Below are 22,221 nucleotides of genomic sequence, written 5' to 3' on the forward strand. Positions count from 1 at the left end.
GGCACCATCATCTAACACAGAGCCTGTTTTATATAAAGTGTTGAATATCTCATGTAATTTATTGAGTATTTTACTGAAAGTGAAAAACAGAATGGTTGTATAGTTACTTAAAGTACGGTTTCTACTGAAGGCATATGGCTTTTATACCATCTTAAAGTTGAAAAATCTTAAGTTGAACAATTGTAAGTTGAGGACTGTTTGTATTAATGATGTTTGTTGCTTTCTTGTTTGTTTTCTGAGACAGGGTGTTACTCTGTCACCCAGGCTGGAGTACAGTGGTTCACTGCAGCCTCTACCTTCTGGCCTCAAGTGATCCACCTGCCTCATTCTCCCAAGTAGCTGAGACCACAGGTGCATGCCACCACACCCAGCTGTTTTTATTTTTTGTAGAGATAGGTATCACTACGTTGCCCTGGCTGGTCTCAAACTCCTGGGCTCAAGTGATCCTCTTGCCTTGGCATCCCAAAGTGCTGAAATTATAGGCATGAGCCACCATGGCTGACAAGTTTGTTTTTCTATCTAGAATGAATGAATATGAGTACTTTAGCTTACATGGCATAAAAGGAGCCACCTTCTCTCATTACCTGCAATCATGGGTCTGTGTCCTAGATGAGTTGTCTCAACTACCCAACATAAGGCCACTTTTACCAGCAATCTAAGGGGTTTAATAAAAACACATAATATGTTTTTCTGGCTTTTGTGTAGAGTATTATTATGTCTAATTGAGAATTATTATCTAGTATTTATTTATTTATTTAGGCTACATTTATGGTCAGCTGAGTGACTAATGTCTGTTTGACTCCCCTGTTTTCTCAGTGGAGCTGGGGTTCTTGGTAGATAAAACACCAATATTGTCTGTGATTTATAAATGAGAGTCTTTTGTATTGTTGGTTGACATTTTCAATCCTGCAACCAGATTCCATAGCTTCCTAGCTAGGGAAAAGGAAGCACAAGAATGTATTGTGGGGCACTGGGGAAATGCAAGACTGCTTGAATATTGCCAGGTTACAATACCCACCACGTTATTTTGGTGATTCTCAATGTTCTTGCAATCACTTATATGATACGTGCTTTCCTGATGAGACTCAGAGCTACATAGGAAGTAGGTCATTGTGTATTTTATTACTATTGTATTCCCCACATCCTTACACTTTGTGAGCAAGTAATAAGTAATTCTCAAATGAATGAATGAATTGGGATAGGAAATGCACATCGAATGTTATTTCCTTCTTTAGTCTCTCTCTTCCTCCATAGCTTTCTACTTCCTGGCACTAAAAGTAATCTCTGTATACTGATATTTAAAAAAAAATCTTAGCACGTAGTATTTTCTCTGGGCGGTTCTTACATAATTTACTTTCCATTTATATTGTGGTTATTTAAGAGGATATCTAATCGTACTACTAGATTGTCAGTTTCTTGTCCAGAGGATATATTTCTAATTTACTTTTAGATTTCCTATAGTGCCTATGCATTTTCAGCAGTCAATTAGGTAGCTTGTTGAATGAATGAATCATAAGGAGCCTGTTAAAGTGACATTTACTGAGTTCTACTTATTAATATTCAATGAATATTTTATTGGGAAAGCAAGGAATCTTACTTTCATTTGTATTAAATCAATCCAGCATCTAGTCAATGACCACTGCTTTTCCTCCTGGCCTTGTGACATGCAGAGACTCTGGGGGCGCCTTGTTTAAGTAGGACACACTATATGTAAGCACACCCCTCTGTGATTTTCTAATTCCATTATTCAAAACTTCTTTAATTACATTGCCCTTCAATTAGACAAATGTGTTGATTATCACGGAGTGCTGACAGGCAAAAGATGCTTTTAATTACATATCAATTTAGCTTTTGACTGATCAGCAACAAGGTTCTGGTTACTGGATAATAAAATTAAGCATGTGGCCCTCTGAACCTTGAGTCCTCATCATGTAGCCTGTAATGACAGAGGTAGAAAGTTTCCCTATTTGTTCCCACTTTGGGGAATATCTTGGCAGTGAATTCTGTGAGTCAATTCTTTTGAGTCCTTGGGCAACCTCATTCAGCCTGAGATTATGCATGCCTCAACTCAAGGAAAATGCATGGCATTTTGAAATGCATCTGCATGCCTTCCTTCAGAGTCTTTTCTGAGCTCAACCCTTAAAACATCTTATATTTGCAAATAGGAGCAAATGAGTTTTCTCTCAGATGGGATTTGGAGTGGCTCATAGGCTTTTAAATCTTTTTTTGTTGTTGCTGTAACAAGAATGGGAAAAACAGCAAAACAGAATGAGGGATGGGATGAGCAGAATGACCTGTAAGTAGAACCAAGGGAAAAAAAGTAGCAAGTGGAGAAATAAGGAGAAACCAAAACCCTGGAATGTCCCAAAGTCCAAAGGCATGGAGAGGTTCAAGAAGGGAAACTCTTGAAGCCTGTCAGTGGAGTGAAGGGCTACTGTCTTAGTCTGTTTTAACTGCTATAGCAAAGTACCATAAATTGAGTGGCTTATAAACAACAAATGTTTATTTCTCACAGTTCTGGAGGCTGCAAAGTCCAAGATTAAGTCCTGGTTGATTTGGTTTATGGTGAGGGCTAGGATTTTGATTCATAAATGGTGCCTTCTTTTTTTTTAGTCTGTCACCCAGGCTGGAGTGTAATGGTGCCATCATGGCTCACTGCAGCCTTGACCTCCCGGGCTCAATAGATACTCCCACCTCAGCCTCCCGAGTAGCCTGAACCACAGGCACACACAACCATGCCTGGCTAGTTTTTTGTATTTTTCGTAGAGATGGGGTTTCACCATGTTGCTGGGGCTGGTCTTGAGCTTCTGAGCTGAAGCAATACATCTGCCTTCGCCTCCCAAAATGCTGGGATTACAGGTGTAAGCCACCATGCCCAGCCATGGTGCCTTCTTGCTCTGTCCTCACGTGGTAGAAGAAGCAAGGCAGCCCTCTGGGGTCTCTTTTATAAGGGCACTAGTTCCATGTATGAGGGCTGTACTGCCATAAATGAATCACCTCCCAAAGACCTCACCTTCTGATACCATCATTCTGGGGGTGAGGATTTCAACATAGGAATTTCGAGGAGACAGAAACATTTAGACCATAGCAGTCATGCAGAGAAAGCAGAGAACAAGGACAGAAAATAAGCAACTTGGTTTGTCAGAAGGACTATTGGAGACCCCAAAGTGTGCCCTTTAAGTAGAACAGTGAGAGGGAAGCTGACTATAAAGAGGTAATGAAGAAACAAGTGGTGAAGATACATAAGCAATTATTGTATCCTGCTCATTCTAGAAATGTGGCCATGTTCTCTGGAACTCATTTTTTTATGTCTGTTCACCTTTCCTTTTGCATTCTGTTGGCCCAGTTTGAGTTATAAAAAAAACTTCTCCTTTGAGTCAGGGAGGGGAAATAACTTTGCGTAGTTGGGGAATTTGAGCAAGTTGGCAAGGTGGCCTCTTTGACCATCTTCACTTTTAACTTTTCCTCTATTTTAAGAAAATTGAGTAATGATGAGTGGTTCTGTTTTGACATTAGAACAACTTTTATGGTTTTCACATGTGAGGAGATTATACCTGAGCCTCTAAAAGGGCTTAAAAAAAAAAAAGACCACAGTGACTATAGGAAGGGGGTAAGAGGAGAAAGCTTATGGAAGCCAGTTGAAAAGACTAAGATTTTAAAGATGTGATGGTGGAGCCAGAGGGCATGCATTTATTTTAAAGGCAGAGATTTAGAGTTTCAGTGCCTGCCACTGGCCTTGGGTTAGATCCATGGGCTTGCTTGTTGATGCTCTCTTAATGAAAGTCAAGAGAAAAGATTACCATGTCAGTGGTTTTGTTTTCTTTGATCTTCTGTGGCTGTGTGCCACACTGATTTTGCCTGGGAAGCCCCAAGGCAGTTTTTGTAACAACCCAGTGTTATGTTGTTGAAGGAAGGTCTGTTTACCCTTTGTCTCTCACACTGCTTCAAGGGATGGAGCAGGGGGAAGGTCACTAAGTGAGAGGTCATAAAGGTTGAGTTCTGGTGATCATGCTGTGTTATTTGCCTTATGAGTTTTATCCAGCCACCTGGCATTTCTAAAACTTAGTGTTTTTTTGTATGTAAAACAGCTTTAAGAATACCTCCCTATCTTCTAGGGTGATGGTAGAATCAGATGAAATATGTTAAAAAGCACATTAAAACCAAAGAAGAATGCATTATAAATAAAATGCAATGTTATCAAGCAACCAAAGAAGGGAAGTAGAAGACAATGAGGAATTGAAGCAGGGCTAAACATTCCTTCTCTTTCTCATTATCCTCATCCCTATAGGGGTAGCTGAGAACCAGCCTCCGTTGTGGGCCCCATAATTCAATTGAACTGACTTCACACTGGGTCAGGAAGTGAGGGGGCAGGGTCCAAAGCTGGAAATGGAAGGTCTGGGATTCTGTGTGGTTTGTACGAAATGCCTTTCATTGGGCCTCACACATATTTAGCACTCAGTAAATGTTTATGTTGTTACCTCTTCTTGTCTGCTGTCTTTCCAGCCATATATTTAATGCTACTCACACATAGGTTCAGGCTTCTGGGGTCCAAAGCATATACAATATTGGAGAATCTCTTCAAGTAGAAAAATATAAAAATATCTTCTTTTACAAGTTTAATCAAGACATTTGGTCAGGTGGGCACATTCTTAGGAACCACCCAAGGCCTTGCAAGTGGTCTACACAAGTGAGGATTCTTGAAGCTTCTGCTTTGGATGGTGATGAAATGCCCAGTGTATATATCCTGTTTACTGCAATGTTCAGCAACTTCTGTTTGTGTGTATGTGTGTGTTTGTGCATACACACGTGAATTGGCAGTCTATTCACATAATACGCATATGCACACACAAACTCCTAAATGAACTACATTGTAAGTATATTATTTAACATTTAAAAAATTAAAGTGAGTTAACATGTTTAGTTTGAGAGTTTTATAACATCTATTGAAATCATTCAAGAGCTTTTGAATCTCTAGAATATCAAATGTGAGAATCTTTGCTCCAGGTTACTTTTTACTTAAAACTATCTGAAAATTCAACCTACAAATGTGTTGTTTAGGTTACAAAACATTAGGCTATGTTTTCCTCTCTTTAGTGATAGAGCAGAAAATAATTTGAGTGACTTAGTCCAGTCAGCTGCCTTTAGCAAACCTCATAGATGTCTTGCTTGACACATAAGACACTGTCCTATTTTTGGAAAGGAGCTCTCCTTACCTTGCTTTGAAAACTAGCACCCGTGTTAGGAATTTCCTCCTGTGGCGAACCTAAAATCTCCAGGGTGTAACAATGCTATGTGAGCTGCCATTCAGAATGCACCTGTATATTAAGGTCAGGAAGACATCTAGTAAGTGCTTGCTAATTTTATTGTTAAGCAAATTCACTTCTTTGAATCTCTAGTCTGCTTTCCCATTTTTTGTTTGTTTTGCTTTTAGTAAAACTGACAGAACGTTCCAGCCAGTGTTCCACCGTTTCAATTTCTAGTTAGTGGAATCATGGTACATCATCTACTGTACACAATCTCTATGATGAATATCCTCAACAGAAAGGATATTTTCCTGGGAATTGATGGTAACATACTGTGTAGTAGATGTCAGAACTCAGTTTATGATTTGGCTTAAAAATATTTTTACCTTTATTGTGAAAGATATAGAAAACTTGGAAAGTAAATAAATATAGAAGGAAAACAGAAATCATTGGTATTTCACAGCCTACATATAACAACTATTCATATTTCGATGTGCTTTATTCTGTTTTCTTATTTATGGACACACACAGATATTCATAGCAGAGAGAACATTTTATCCTTCTCTTTACTCCACTTAGTAATATATAATGAACATTTCTCATATCACTAAAATTTATCCAGAAACATTAATCTTAATAGATATATGATATTTCATCTTGTGGATGTGCTTTTTTCATTGCTATTTTCTTTGATCTGGTTCTTTATTTATGTAGGGTTTGCAGAACATTAATAATAGTTTTATATGTGTTTTAAAGATTATATCAAGCAAAACACCATTGCATTCTCATTTAAAAAGTCTCAAATAATTAAATAAAGTCCTCCAGTATTTCTCATCCTCAGAAGTTACTGTTTTTATCAGTTTTGTGTCTGTGTAGTTTTCTTATGCATTAACACTTATATATGTGAGCATTCAGGAAATACAGTTTTTTTATCATTTATGTTTCTTCATAATTTATTTGAGAAACCATTTATTATCGATTATTCAGATTCTTTCTAATTTTGATTTTCATAAATAATAACAAATGACTGTACATAGATGTTTAGTGCATCTCTGATCATTTCTTCTGGATTAAATTTATAGAATTATTGGGTCAAAGAATATGGCTCAATAGAGACTATCTTTAATAAGAAAGTATATACTAACATACATGTTTCATTATTATAAACCTAGAAGTTTTCAGTGCTGAATTAATGTATTTATCTGTCTAATAAATAAGAATAAAAAAAGCAAAACAAATGAAAATTTGGGAAAAAGTTATAGTAGCAAACCATGGGGTAAGCTAAAATATAGCATTATTCTGAGTGATTAATGGAGTGTAAGAAACAACTTAATGAAACCACAAAGCCAGTTCTTCAATGGACAGGGAATTCAGGAAGCAGAGACTGATAATCTTAACACATGAGTAATTTTTCCATGTTTAATGTTGCCATAATCACTGCTAGCTTTAGGCATCCCCATGTAATTTGTGTATTTTATTTATTTTGCTTGGAGCTTAGCATTCCATTATTACTATTTTCTTGAAAACTCATCCTATCAGTAAGTTTATGCAATGCAGTGTTATCATGCAATGCCTGAACCACAGGCACACACAACCATGCCTGGCTAGTTTTTTGTATTTTTAGTAGAGATGGGGTTTCACCATGTTGCTGGGGCTGGTCTTGAACTTCTGAGCTGAAGCAATACATCTGCCTTGGCCTCCCAAAATGCTGGGATTACAGGTGTGAGCCACTGTGCCCAGCAATGGTGCCTTCTTGCTCTGTCCTCACATGGTTTTGCCATGTTGTCCAGGCTGTTCTCGAACTTCTAGGTTCAAGCAATCTGCCTGCCTCAGCTTTCCAAAGTGCTGGGATTATAGGTGTGAGTCACCTCACAGGTCTTTCTTCACTATCTTCAATAAAAGAAATTATTATGTTTTCAGGGGTTTTGTGTGTTTTTAACAAAATAGGGTGAGATATTTATGGTTGGTTATGAGTTTGTTTAGACTCTTGCTTTTTTTTTTTTTTGAGACCTAGTCTTGCTATGTCGCCCTAGCTGGAGTGCAGTGGTGTGATCTCAGCTCACTGCAACCTCCACCTCCCGAGTTCAAGCAATTCTCCTGGCTCAGCCTCCTGAGTAGCTGGGACTACTCAGAGCCCTTATCCCAGCTTTCCTATTTTGCTGCTCATGTTGAAATGCTTGTTATCCTTTGAGCTCTATGAAATAACCCAAGGAAACGGCTGGGTACCCACCTTTTTTAGGGCTCTAGATAGTTTACTTCAGTATGATTGTCATATGTTGATAAATCAAGTTATTTTACCTTGCTAGAGCCAGAATTTTAAAAATATAATCAAGCCTAAATAAGTCTTAGGAAATATTTGCAAAATATAACTAAAATATGTCTTTATAGGAGAAAAATGGATGACTTTTAAACAACTAAATATTAAGATGACAGTGCCGTTATTATAGTGGGTAGCAATGCATTACATAAAATTGAGCTGTATATGAAATACAACATTAAAAATTTTTGTTTCTAATTTGAGTCCTAATTCGTCTGGGAAGTGAAAACAAATCCCAGTTAGTTCTGATTCTCTCACTCCTCCATTTTCACCTGAGTTGCATCTATATTCCAGGTTTTATCTAGTGCCATAGATGTGTTAGTATGGATATTTACAAGAGGAGAAGAGTTAAGCATTGACGAGATTCAATTAAGACCTTACAACCTGATCACAATTAAAAATATTTTTTTCCCTTGGGAGGCCAAGGCAGTCAGATTGCTTGAGCTCAGGAGTTCGAGACTAGCCTGGGCAACATGGTGAAACCCTCTCTCTACAAAAAATCAAAATAAAAATAGTTGGGCCTGGTGGCATGCATCTGTAGTCCTAGCTACTCAGGAGGCTGAAGCAGGAGGATCACTTGAGCCTAGGAGGTTGAGGCCACAGTGAGCCACGAGCGTGCCATTGCAAGACCCTGTCTCAAAAAAGAAAATACTTTTTCCCTCCTCTTGCAGGTTGTCAAGACGTATTTTAAGTCAAAGAATAAAGTCAGTAAAGCCTCTCTTGGAAACCACATAAGCTTCTCACATGACCCCTTCTCCACCTTCACCCTCTCAGCACAGTAGGGGTGAGGAGGCCCTCTTACTGAGCAGCATTCAAAGACCTTATGCTTGGGCCAAGACTGTCCCCGTTTCCTGCTTCATCAAGCTCAGGACATTTACGCCAGTAACTCCTGGAAAGAGACTAGGATGCAGCAAAGTTAGTTCTAAGAGGGAAATTCACAATGATAAATGCCTAAATTAAGAAAGAAAGATGTCAAATAAAAAACCTAACTGTATATCTCAAGGAACTAGAAAAAGAAAACAAATTAATCCCAAAGTCAGCAGAAGGAAGGAAATAATAAAGATTAAAACAGAAATGAACGAAACAGAGACTAGAAAAATAATAGAAAAGTTCAATAAAACTGAGGTGGTTTTTTGAAAAGATAAACAAAACTGACAAGCCTTTACGTAGACCAACTTAAGAAAAAAGAGAAGAGGCAAATAAAATTATAAATAAAAGAGGAAATATTATAACTGATATCACAGAAATACAAAGGATCATAAGAGACTACTATGAACAATTGTATGACAAAAAGTGGATAATCTAGACGTGATTGACAAATTTCTAAAAGCACACAACCTACCTACCAACAGTGAATCATGAATAAATAAAGAGAAAATCTGAATAGACCAATAATGAGTAAGGAGATTGAATCAGTAATCAAAAAACTCCCAGAAAAGAAATGTGTAGGACCTGATGGCTTCACTGGTGAGTTCTACCAAACATTTAGGAAGAATTAACATGAATTATCCTCAAACTCTTTCAAAAAATTGAAGAGAAGGAAACACTTTCAAACTGATTTGATGAGATCAGTGTTATCCTGATCCCAAAGCCAGATAAAGACACTACAAGAAAGGAAAATTACAGGCCAATATCCTTCATGAACAGAGATGCAAAAATTATCAACAAAACACTAGCAAAACAAATTCAACAACACATTGAAAGAACCATAGACATGATTAAACAGGACTTATTTCTAGGATGCAAGAATGATTCAACATACACAATCTATAAATGTGATTAGCCACTGTATTAGCTTGTTCTTGCATTGCTATAAAGAAATACCTGAGACAATAATTTATAAAGAAAAGAGGTTTAGTTGGTTCATGGTTCTGCAGCCTGTACAGGAAGCATGGTGGTGTCATACACTCAGCTTCTGGGAAGGCCTCAGGAAGCTTCAATTGTGGGGGAAGGTGAAGGGAGAGCAGACACATTACATGGTCAGAGCAGGAGCAAGAAAGAGAGAGAAAGAGAGGAGGTGCTACCACTTTTAAACAACCAGATTTCACATGAATTTACTCACTATCACAAGCACAGCACAAAAAAGATGGTGCTAAACCATTCATGAGAAATCCACCCCCATGATCCAGTGACCTGCCACCAGGCCCCACCTCCAACACTGGGAATTACAATTTGACATGAGATTTGGGTGAGGACACAGATCCAAACCATATCAACCACATTAACGGAATGAAGGATAAAAATCGTATGATCATCTCAATAGATACAGCAAAGCATTTGGCAAACTTCAACATCCTTTCATGATAGAACCTTTCAACAAATTATGTACAGGAGAAATGTACCTCAAGATAATAAAAGCTATATATGACAAACACACAGCTAACATCAGACTCAATGGTGAAAAGCTGAAGGCCTTATCTCTAAGTTGATGAATAAGACAAGAATGCCCACTCTAATCACTTGTATTTAATATAGTACCAGACGTCCTAGCCAGATAACTTAGGCAAGGGAAATAAATAAATGACATCCAAGATAGAATGAAAAAAATTTAAATTGTTTCTATTTGCAGATAATATGATCTTATATATAGAAAACTCTGAAGTCTCCACCAAAAAACTGTTAGAACCAATAAATTTAGTAAATGTACAAAATCAACGTTAAAAATCAGTAATGTTCTTGTACACTAACAAGGAAGTATCTAAAAGATAAATGAAGTATACAACTCTATTTACAATAGCCTCAAAACCCTAAAGTTCTTAGGAATAAATTTATCCAAGGAGGTGAAAGACTGGTACATTGAAAACTGAAGGAGGTGATTAAGTCCTGAGGGCTCTGCCCTCTGAATGAGATTAATGACTTTATAAAAGAGGCTTGTGGTAACCCTTTTCTCCTTCCCTCATGTGAGGACACAGTGAGAAAATGCCATCTTTGAAGCAGACAGCAAGCCCTCATTGGACACTGAACCTTCTGGTACCTTGATCTTAGATATGCCAGCCTTTAGAACCGTGAGAAATAAATTTTTGTGGCTTATAAATTACTTAGTCTAAAATATTTTGTTATAGCAGAATGAATGAACTAAGTACTCAAAGCAATCTATAGATTTCTGTTGCAATCTCTATTAAAATTCAAGTGACATTTTTCACAGAAATAGAAAAACCCTAAAGTTTTTATTGAATCACTAAAGGCTCTGAATAGCCAAATTAATCTTGAGCAAGAAGAACAAAGCCGGAGGTATCATACTACTTGATTTCAAAATATTTTTAAAACTATAGTAATCAAAGCAGCATGGTACTGGCATTAAAAACAGACAAACTGAACATAATAGAGAGCCCAGAAATAAATCCATGCCCTTATGGTTGCTACAGTTTGAGTGTGTCCCCTCCACAATTTACACTGAAATTTAATTTCTATTGTAGTGGTATTAAGAGGTGGTATAATTACTTCCTTTTGAGAAGTGATTAAGTTATGAGGGCTCCAGCCTCATGAATGGATTAGTGCTTTATAAAAGAGCTGGAGGAAACTAGGCCTTGATTTTCTTCCTCCACGTAAGAAAACAGCAATCCTCCCTTTGCCCTTCTTCTGCCTTCTGCCATGTGAGGACACAGCAAGAAGGACCTCACCACACACCAAATGCTGGTGCCTTGATCTTGGACTTCCCAGCCTCCAGAACTACAATAAATAAATTTCTGATTTTTAAAATAAATTGCTCAGTCTCAGATATTTAGTTATAGTAGCACACATGAACTAAGACAATAATCACTTGATCTTTGACAAAGGGGGAAAGAACACACAAGGGAAAAAGGGTAGTCTTTTCAATAAATAGTGTTGGAAAAACTGGATATCCACATGCAAAATAATGAAATTGAACCCCTATCTTATACACAAAAATTAACTCAAAATAGATTAAAAACTTAAAAGAAAGACATGAAATTCTAAAACTGCTAGAAGAAAACAGAAAATAAACACCTTTCTTGACATTTTTCTGGGCAATGGTTTTTTAAATATTTCCCCAAAGCACAGGCAACAAATGCAAAAATAAATAAGATTGGATCAAACTAAAAAACTTCTACACACAAGGGAAACAACCTAATGAAGTGATAACCTATGGAATGGGAGAATATATTTGCAAATGACACATCTGACAAAGGGTTAATACATAAAATATGTAAGAAATGCAAACAATTCAATAGCAAGAAAACAACCCCATTGAAAAATGGGCATAGCAAGGTGTGGTGGCTCATGGTTGTAATTCCAACACTTTGGGAGGCCAAGGCAGGTGGATCATTTTAGGTCAGGAGTTTGAGACCAGCCTGTCTAACATGGTGAAACCTTGTCTCTACTTAAAAAAAAAAAAAAAAAAAGTGAAATCCTATCTCTACTAAAAAAAAATAGAAAAAATTAGCCAGGCATGGTGGCAGGCACCTGTAGTCCCAGCTACTCGGGAGGCTGAGGCAAGAGAATGGCGTGAACCCGGGAGGCGGAGCTTACAGTGAGCAGAGATCGCGCCACTGCACTCCAGCCTGGGTGACAGAGCGAGACTCCGTCTCAAAACAAACAAACAAACAAAAAACTGGATTTGATGGTGTGCCTGTAGCCCAGCTTCTCAGGAGGCTGAGGCAGGAGAATCACTTGAACCTGGGAGGAGGATGTTGTAGTGAGCAGAGATCATGCCGCTGCACCCCAGCCTGGTCAACAGAGTGACTCTGTCTAAAATAATAATAATAAGAAGAAAAATAAATTAAAAATGGGCAGGGGGCCTGAATAGACATTTCTCAAGAGAAAACATACAAATGACCACCAGGAAGATGAAAAAAATGCTCAGTATTACTGATAATCAGGTAAATACAAATCAAAACCACAATGAGATACCACCTCACACCTGTTAGAATGGCTATGATGAAAAAGATAAAAGATAAACAATTACTAGCATAGATGTGGAGAACAGGGAACCCTTACGCACTATTGGTGGAAATGTAAATTATTGCAACCAGTGTGGAGATTCCTCAAAAAATTAAAAATAGAACAACCATAAGATCCAGCCAACCAACCTCTGGGTATATATCCAAAGGAAATGAAATTAATATGTCAAAGATATATTTGCACTCCATGTATATTGCAGCACCATTCACAACAGCCAAGATATGGAACCAAGCTAAGTGTCCATGGATGAGTGAATGGATAAAGAAAATGTGGAACACACCTCAGCCTGGAACACTGTTCAGCCTTACGAAAGAAAGAAATCCTGTCATTTGCAATAACATGGATAAATCTGAAGGAATTTCTGTTAAATGAGTAAGCCAGGCACAGAAAGACAAATACCACATGATCCCACTTATGTGGAATTTAAACCCATGGAAAGAGAGAGTAGAATGGTGGTTTCCAGGGGCTGGGTGAGATTGGGGAGGATGGAGAGGTATTGGTCCAAAGGTATAAACTTTCAGTTACATGGGATGAATAAGTTCTGAAAAACTTTGTATAGCACAAAACACAATTTATTGTATACTTGAATATACCTAAGGGAGTAGATCTTACATTTTTAATTTTTCCCAGCTTTATTATGGTATAACTGACAAATAAAAATTGAATATATTTACTGTGTACAGAGTGATGCTTTGATATACATATACATTGTGAAATAATTAACACAAACCAGCTAATTAACCTATCTGTTACCTCACGGTTACTTTTTTTTTTTTTTTTTTGGTAAGTGGTGAGAATATTTAAGATCTACTGTCTTACAAATTTCAAGTATATGACACAGTATTATGAACTACAGTCACCACACTGTACATTAGATCCTCAGAACTTGTTCACCTTCTAAATGGAAGTGTGTACCCTTTGACCCAATTTCTCCCTCCACGCAGCCCCTGGCAACCACCATTCTAATTCTGACAGTAGACTTTAATGTTCTGACAACATACACACAGAAAATGATAACTATGTGAGGTGATGTATATGTTAATTGGCTTGATTGTGGGAATCTTTTCACAATGTATACCTATATGAAGACACCACATTGTACACTGAAAATATATACCTCAATAAAGAAAAAAGTAACAAGAAATGAAAAAAATAATAAAGCAACGAAAAAACCCTCAAAGACCTCATGCTGTTTGAAAGAGACAAGAAACTAGGCAGGCCTCTGTGTGCAAGCCCAGGCTCTGCCCTTTTCCCTGTTAGTTTTCACCCCTTCCTTCCTTTAAATCCTTCTTTTCCCCAACGCTCTGGACTCAAATAACTATTAGGAGGAAAGAAGTGAAAATAAACTAACATGTGTAGAGCATGTACTGTACACCAGATGTTAGACTTTATTCTCCATTGTTTATGTTCTCCAACCCATCATCGAATCCTGTCCCTTTAACCTTCACAGTATCTCCAGAATCCAGACACTGTTCCCCATCTTCCTGCTACCACCCTGGACCAAGCCACTAGCACCTCCCTCTCAGATTACTGCCTTGACCTTCTAAGTGGACCCTGCTTCTGGTCTTGCCTTTACAGTTTCATCGTAGCATGAGAGCCAGTGATTCCCTCACAAAGTCATACCATATCCTGCCTCTGCTTAGAACTTCCAGAGCTCCATTCTTTTGCAGAGTAAAACCCAAAGCCCTTACATTAACCTTCAAGGCCCTACAAGATCTGCAACCTACTTATTTATCTGACTTCATCCCCCACCTCTCCCTTCCTGTTCCACTCTGATCTAGCCATCCTGGTATCTTCATTGTTGTGTGAAAATGCAAACACGTTCCTGACTCAGAGCCTTTGTAACTGAGGTTCCAGCTGCCAGAAAGACTGCCCCATCAAATATATGCATGAACAGGTAGAGGTCATTGCTAATCACCTTCTATAAAAAATGCAATGCTCTACCGCACTTACCATCAGGCAACCATTTATTTATTTGCTGTTGTCTGTCTCCTTGAACCCTATCTTGCCTCTATTGTCTTTTCCAAGAGGGCTGGGATGTTTTGTGCACTGCTGTGGCCCCAGCTCCTGGAAAAGTGGTTGGCATCAAGTAGGTCTGAATACATGTTTATGGAATGAATCAGTGAATTGGCACAACAATTGGTGAAGATAAATACTTTCTCCTGTTTCTACAAATGGGTTCAATGCTGCTCAGAATGACAAAGTAATTTATGAATACTCAGCTTCTAAGAGGTGGAAACAGAAACAGACCCCAGGAAGGTTTTCTAGTCAACATAGAAAGAAACCAGGAGAATAGTTATAAAGTGGTCTTGCAGATAAATAATTTATTATTAAACTATCTTTCCTAACATTGAGATTAGTTTAAAGAGGTTACTTAGAAACAGGCAGTGTCTTATTTCAGGGTAATTGCTAACTGTTTCTGGAAACACTCTCCAAGACAGACCAGAAATAATGTTTAACAGACCAGAAATAATATCTGGGCACCCTGTGGCCCAGTCAAATTGATACATAAAATTAATCACCACATCACTCTAGGTCACAGAAAGGCAGGTAGAAAAGAAGGGAATAGCAGGTGTTTTGTTTTGTTTTGTTTTGCCTGCCTGCCTTCCTTCCTTCCTTCCTTTTTTCCTTCCTTCCTTCCTCTCTCTTCTCTCCCTTCCCTTCCCTTTCCTTTTTCCTTTCTTTCCTCTTTTTCTCAATCGCCCACCCCTCCTTTCCCCGCCTATTTCTTAGTTTTCTTTCCTCTCCTCACCATTATGCTTTCTTCCATTCTCCCACCTTGGGTTTAACCTACTGGGCCCCGACTTCCTCGAAAGACTTTCTCTTTGAAACTTTTCTTACCACTTGTGATTAGAGCTTCACTTTTAACTCTGTTTCCCCTTCTCTAAATCATTCTCCTCTCACTCCCCTACTCTATCCCCTTGGAAGCTCCTTCTCCATCTGAACACATGAGAAGTTATACAACTGTAAATGAAATAGATAGAATGGGAAGAGAATTTAGGTCTGGGCGAAACTTGAATAGGAGTAAGGGAGAAGTAATGGGGTCGACCTGTCTTGCTAATTCTTCCTCTCTGCTTTGTTCACTCCATCTACTCTGAGGCATAAACGTCAACCCCTGGGATTTACAAAGGGTAAACTAGATGCCCACACAGAGTAAATGTAGGCAGTAGAAAACATGTTGAATGATGATAGGAAAGATCATGTACCCATGGTGCAACATTTTGAGTGATTCTAATTTTAGCATTTTATATTGATTTTCATTTATTTTTAAATTATTTTAAATTTTTATTTTTAGAGACAGGGTCTTTCTCTGTCACCCAGGCTGGAGTGTCGTGATGCAACCATAGCTGACTGTGACCTTGAACTCCTGGGCTCAAGGGATCCTCCACTTCAGCCTCCCAAGTAGCAGGGACTATGGGTGCGTGCCACCATGCCTAGCTAATTTCATAAATTTTTGGTAGATGGGGGTCTTGCTATATTGCTCGGGGTGGTCTTGAACTCCTAAGCTCAAATGGCCCTTTTGCCTTGGCCTCCCAAAATGCTGGGATTACAGGCATGAGCGCTGTGTCCAGACAGTTTAAATTAAATTAAATTTAGTTAAAATAAATTTTATTTTTCTGTTTTCCGGTTCTTTCTCAGAGCATGTATTTTTTAACAGGAAAAATGCTTATGTTGTATTGCTAAGTAAAAATAAAAATTTAGCATTAAATACAATCTAGCTACAAATATATAAAAATTATAGCAGGAAAATAAAATAGAAAGGGAACATACCAGCTTGTTAAGGGTGATTGTGTTTGAATGGTGGTTCTAAGACTTACGTGGATATTGGGGAATATTGTTGCTAGTGTTGTATTGTCCAATTTTGTTCAAATGTGCATGTTTGATTTTTATATAGAAAATATAAAGCATACTTCACTAAAATGATGTCTTTTCTCTCCATTTTTATTAATGTCTTGGGTCCCCAAAAAGCCAATATAAATTATAAAGAGGGCTTATAAGCAACATTCCTTGCTTCTTAGTTATTTTCATTTGAAAAAGGCGTACATTTAATTAAAATGCTATATGAAATATAATTTTACTAGTCTTTCTCTTCCATAAAACAGCACCATGTAGCACTGTAAAAAGAATATTAGACAAGAGTTAGGCAATTTAAATCTCAGTTCTGTATCTACCCCCAGTGACCTTAAACAAAACAGCTTCCTCCCCACTTCAGTTTCCCAATATATGATCCTGAGTGGATTGGGCCAGCTGGTGCCTTCTAGTTCTTCCTGCCTGTAGAATATCCTTGCAGCACCCTCTCTTCTTCTGGGGCATTGTAACTAACTTCCCTGCTATCTCTCCTGCCTCTCTTCTCTCTAAGAGGACATAGTGACAATGGTCTAAGATATCGCAGCCTCGGGGATTTTAGCAAAATGTGAGAAATATTTTTTAATTTTTATTTTTCATGAGTACATATTAGGAGTATATATTTAGGGAATACATATAATATTTTGACACAGGAATGCAATGCATAATAATCACATCAGGGTAAATGGGGTATCCATCACCTGAAGCATTTATCCTTTGTGTTACAAACAATACACTTACGCCTTTTATTTCAAATGACAATAAATTTATTATTGACTACAGTTACCCAGGTATGCTATCAGATACTAGTTCTTATTCATTCTGTTTTTTGTACCCATTAAAAAATTTTTAAATAAGCAAGATTACACGAGGTGAGTTTTGTGACAGATCTAAACCTGTGATACAACTATATTTTTGCCCATGCATATAGCACCATTCCCCTAGTGCTGCTTTTCCAACTTTGAGAACCAAAGGTACTATAAAGCTCAGCAATATGTTCTAAAGAAATCATTTCCTAGCCCATCTACAAAATGATTGGCCATGAATGGAAACAGTAGTATTATACATTTACTTTTACTTCCAGGGGACATTTGATGGAATTCTACAGGAAGAGTCTTGGTGCTGGAGAATGTTCTAAGAGCATAATGCAAGCAGATAGTGACTCTTCTAAGCTAACATGGTTGAAAGAAAACCCTGGTACACTCCTGATGAGGCCACTCGGCCTTTTGAGGCTTTTTCTTGTGAAAGTTTACTCTGTTAGGTTGGTGCAAAAGTAATTGCGGTTTTTACAATTAAAAGTAATATAGTAATTAAATTAATTAATATGAATTGGGTCATTCTTGTCATACTCAACTAAATCAGAGTCGAGAGGCCAGGGGTGAAAAGTACTTGGGCACACAGCATCTGCTCCTAAGAGTTAAATTATCCACAAGCCCAGCTGCTGAAATGGCCTGCTGTACCCCCTAAGACCAGTTCTAACTAGCAGCTGCTGACATGGCCTGCTGTGATTCTAAACTAGTTTTACCTACTGCTGTCACTCACCAATCAGAGCTTGCCAGCTCCCAAGAGCTTCTCTAGTGCCAATGAGCTTGCTTTCAAAACAACAAGTAACGTTTCTCCTTCTAATAAAACCCTCAACCTTTCCTTTGTTCTTCAGACATACTGAAGACCACCTGGTCTGTGTGCATGCCCTAATTTGCAATTCTTGCTTCCCAAATAAAACATTAAATTTGAAGACTATCTTAATATTTTATTTTGATTTTGACACTCCATTTGCCTTATTTGTCTAGCCAGTTTAACTACTGCTACTAGACATGGATGTACACCTGTTGAAAGCACAGAACATGCAAACCATGGAGCAGAAGGAAGACTGGAATTTTGAAACTGTGTAGCTGGTTTGCATATCTGTAAGAAAAGAGTTTGTTGCTGCTGAGACGGTCCAGGAAATAGAAGAGCAGGGCAAATGATAATATTATTGATGATGGTGATAATAGCGGCTCTTAGTGAGCACTTCCTGTGTTCTAAGCATTGCTCTAAAAATGTTGAAGGTTTTGTGTTATTTAATCCTCATGATGGATTGTCTTATGAGTAAGGTGTCACTGTTATCTCTATTTGTCTGAGGAGAAGACATAGGGAGGATAAATAACTTGCTCGAGGTCATATGAGTAGTAAATAGAAAAATTGGGGTCATACTCAGATGAGTGTGACTCTAGAACATGTGCTCTTAGCCACATGACTATTCCCTTCCTGCTAGTCAGTATTTGGCAATTGGCGCAGAATTTACACATGAGTCAGGAGCCACCTAGGCATTCTGGATTTTGTCTGTTGCTCACTTTCTGTTCCTATACCTGAGGCTTCAGCCTGCTGTCCCCGTACCTTTCTGCCACACGAGGTTAGGGTTAGGGTCAGGAAGAATATATTGATACCTACATACCACCCTCTCCTCATACTGCCCCACCCTAATCTGGCCTCTTTCTATCCACATCCCTCTTTCTATTAACATCCAATCCCCTCAAGTGAAAGCATACAACTAGAAACTAAAATAGCAATTTTAACAGACACACTGGTGTATGTTTATTCTTCTTTACTCTGTGTTATTTTTTGCCCATTGTAGATTATATTTGCATTTTTTAGTTGTTAATTTAATTATCAGATATTTGAAATATAAAGACAATTTAGAAAATAAAATATATTCCCACCTTCTATTTTTAACAAATGTTAATATTTCCCCCTACTTGCTCAGATTGTTTTCTTTGGTGAAGAGATAAATGTTACAGAGGTTGTCAATGCCTACCCCCATCCTGCCTCCAGCATCTTGATATTTGTTAAGGAAAATACTTCAGGAATATTGGCGTTTGCCTTGCCAAAAATGGCATTACTTAAGCACTGTATGAGACCTTAGGGATCATATACTCCAACTTCTTTTGACGACTAAGTGCTGGAGATTCTAGGAAGTAGGTAGGGTTCTGGGAATACAGCAGCGTTGGTCACCTAACAATGTTGGTTTTCCTATTACTGATTGACCTGCTGCTATGTCAGGAGTGTTTGCATGAGTGTTGGGCCGAGGGTACCATTCCCATTTGGATCTTTAGAGTTTGTCATATCTCTTGGCCCTGTTTACTCATTTTCCTTCCCACTGCAGCTGGGTAAATTCAAGCCCTCGTTAACTCCAGATGATAGTAGTGGCTGCTCTGCAGGCCTTCCTGCCCCTCAGCTTAATACAGCTCTTATACATCACATACATCACACATCTGGGTGTCAGCAAGTCTCTTCTGAGCTCCCTGGTGTGCCCACCTCCATGTGAACTTCAGTAAGGGGGATACAAAGGGGGAAGAGATTCTGGTGTCTGATGTAATAACAATAATAATAATAATAATAAAATAATAATAACAAAGATCTCTAACATTTATTGGTGGTTTACCATCTGACGGGAATTGTTCTGTAAACTTACATGAATTAATTCATTAAATTCTCATAGCGTCTCTATGGCACAGGTACTATAATTATCCCTATTTTAGAGATGAAGACATTTAGGCTCTAAAAGAGTAAGTGACTTGCTCAAGTTTTCCCAGCTAGTATGTGGCAGAGCTAAAATTTGGACGTGGGCCATCTGGCTTCAAAGCCTGTGTTATTCACCACCATTGTGGTCCTGTCTTTCAATGAAGCTGTTGATGACAATGAATGGGAGAGCAAGCCCATTTAGGGGCTCCCATTTTTGTTAGTTCTTAATGCATAGAGCACTCTGTCAGATTCTTCAATAGTCAGTGTTTTACATCTTTTGAATGAGTTCTGTTGGAAATGATTTTTGAAATCAAATTATCTGTGACACTGACATATTTCTCCATAGGAAAAATGTGATTGGTATTACTCCTTAGTAGTTAAATTTCAAGAAAAATCCATAGTTTGTTTAAGCCATGATTCAACTGACTACCCCCATTTGCAATGAAATACAAGAAAAAGAGGAACGATATCACATTATCAATAAAATGAGAAAGCTAAATGTTATTATATTTTAATCTGAAATGATTGTGCTTAAAGGAGGGAAGGATAAGGAAGCAGACATAAATGTTGGAGAAGATTTTAGATTTGTGAATATTTTCAAGGGCTTTGAAGATAGATGTCTATTTGATCTAATTTCACTTCAAATTTAAAAGATTTCCTTTTATTTGACATAATTGTACATGTAATAATTTTTTATACTTCTAGAGTTCCAAAACAACAAGAACTTTTAGTTGTTGTCGTTTACAAATATAACCAAGAGAGGCTGGGTACGGTGGCTCACGCCCGTAATTCCAGCACTTTAAGAGGCTGAGGCATGGATGGCTTGAGCCCAGGAGTTTGAGACCAGTCTGGGTAACATGGAGAAACCCGATTGTTACAAAAAATACAAAAATTAGCCTGGTATGGTGGCATGTGCCTGTAGTCTCAGCTACCTGGGAGGCTAAAGTGGGAGGATCACCTGAGTCCAGGAAGTCAAGGCTGCAGTGAGTCACGATTGTACTACTGCACTCCAGGCTGGGTGACAGAGTAAGACCCTGTCTCAAAATAAAGTAAAATAAAATAAAATAAAATAAAATAAATAAAATAAAAAAATAAATAAAATAACCAAGAGAAGATGAGAGATTTTGCTGGAGTAATTAGAGAAGAGGTAGAAAGAAAAGGAGAAGGGGGAAAGGAATTATAGAGAATATAGACACTTGTTTTGTAAACAGATCTTTTAAGCTGTAATTAGCTTAAAAAATAGGAAAGGTAGAGTAGGTGGTGAGTGTATATGCCTTCCAAGTGGAAAAATGATTGTGAGGAAGAGATTTTCAGTAACACATTTCCTTCTGCCAGTTGATAGTAGCACCATTGACTAAACCAACATGGTGGATGGAAGGAGGAGAAAAGTGTGCAACCAGCTAGAGGAAGCAGATATTCCCAGAGAGGCATTTGCAATTTTACAAGTACTTTGCATTTCTCTGATGTAAAGTATGTTCTTTCAGGTTGGAAATGGATTAGGCATGCTTTTGAGAAAATGACATTAAAATTCTTTCATAGAATACAAAAGAGAATGTGTTAGATAATTATTTTTTTCACTAGCAGAAATTTCCCTTCTCTTTTCTTTATTTTTCATGCCTCTGCTGAGGTGCCTCTGCAGGGCCTCTTCTTTTAAGTCTAGTTATTCCTGAGTTCTTATTATGAGGGATGTAAGGAGAATTGCAAGAGTGGTTTCAAATAATCTGCTGTTTATTGTGGCTGGGGAAAGCTTACCCAGTTATTTAGGTTCTGCTCTGTTCCTATTCCACCTTCCTTATCTTTTGCTTCTTTGTTTCATGACACAGTTAGTCACTGGGGTGGAAATACATCTTTTAGCTACCGTAACAGAAAACTTCCCTCCTTATTATCCATGGAGCTGGAGTTAAAACTCAACCTTGGCTGCAGAGAAGAGGAAGTCCTGGATTTGACATTGCTGAGGGAGTTAGAAATGTTGCTATTTTTCAAAACATGTCACCAGGTCATTAATTAAACACTAAAACAAGTAACTTCAATCAGTTCGAGAGAACCCTTTCCCCCACAGCTCTCATTTTGGCCCATATACAATACACTTGATTTACATCTTATTGAAAACGTCTAAGGCTTCCAATCGTCAGTACTACAGATACTAACATAATTTTTTCCAGTTTGTGAAAGGAGAAAAAATGGACCTAAAAATATTTGATTATTTCCACTTTCATTGTCTAGCTAATGATAGCAGCATAATTATTGATTTAAGATACCTACTGATTTGAAGTGCTTGTGGCATAAAGCTTTTTAAGTTCTGGTTATGTGATTTGCTTTGAGGTTAGTCCTGGAAGCACTTTATTCTTAGGAGATGCTGGGATGGGCTCCTAAATGGGGACATCCATTCTGCAG

The 22,221-nt window shown here is 37.9% G+C and overlaps 1 annotated feature.

The window, feature by feature from the left end:
* Window positions 3,483-4,139: an enhancer, noted in NCBI's record as "NANOG hESC enhancer chr5:66712168-66712824 (GRCh37/hg19 assembly coordinates)". NCBI's record gives its function as "activates a minimal SCP1, AML or CMV promoter by ChIP-STARR-seq in primed H9 embryonic stem cells {active_cell/tissue: H9 hESC(primed)}" and the evidence as "EXISTENCE:reporter gene assay evidence [ECO:0000049][PMID:30033119]".

This window comes from Homo sapiens, chromosome 5, assembly GCF_000001405.40.
Source record: "Homo sapiens chromosome 5, GRCh38.p14 Primary Assembly".
NCBI lineage: Eukaryota > Metazoa > Chordata > Mammalia > Primates > Hominidae > Homo > Homo sapiens.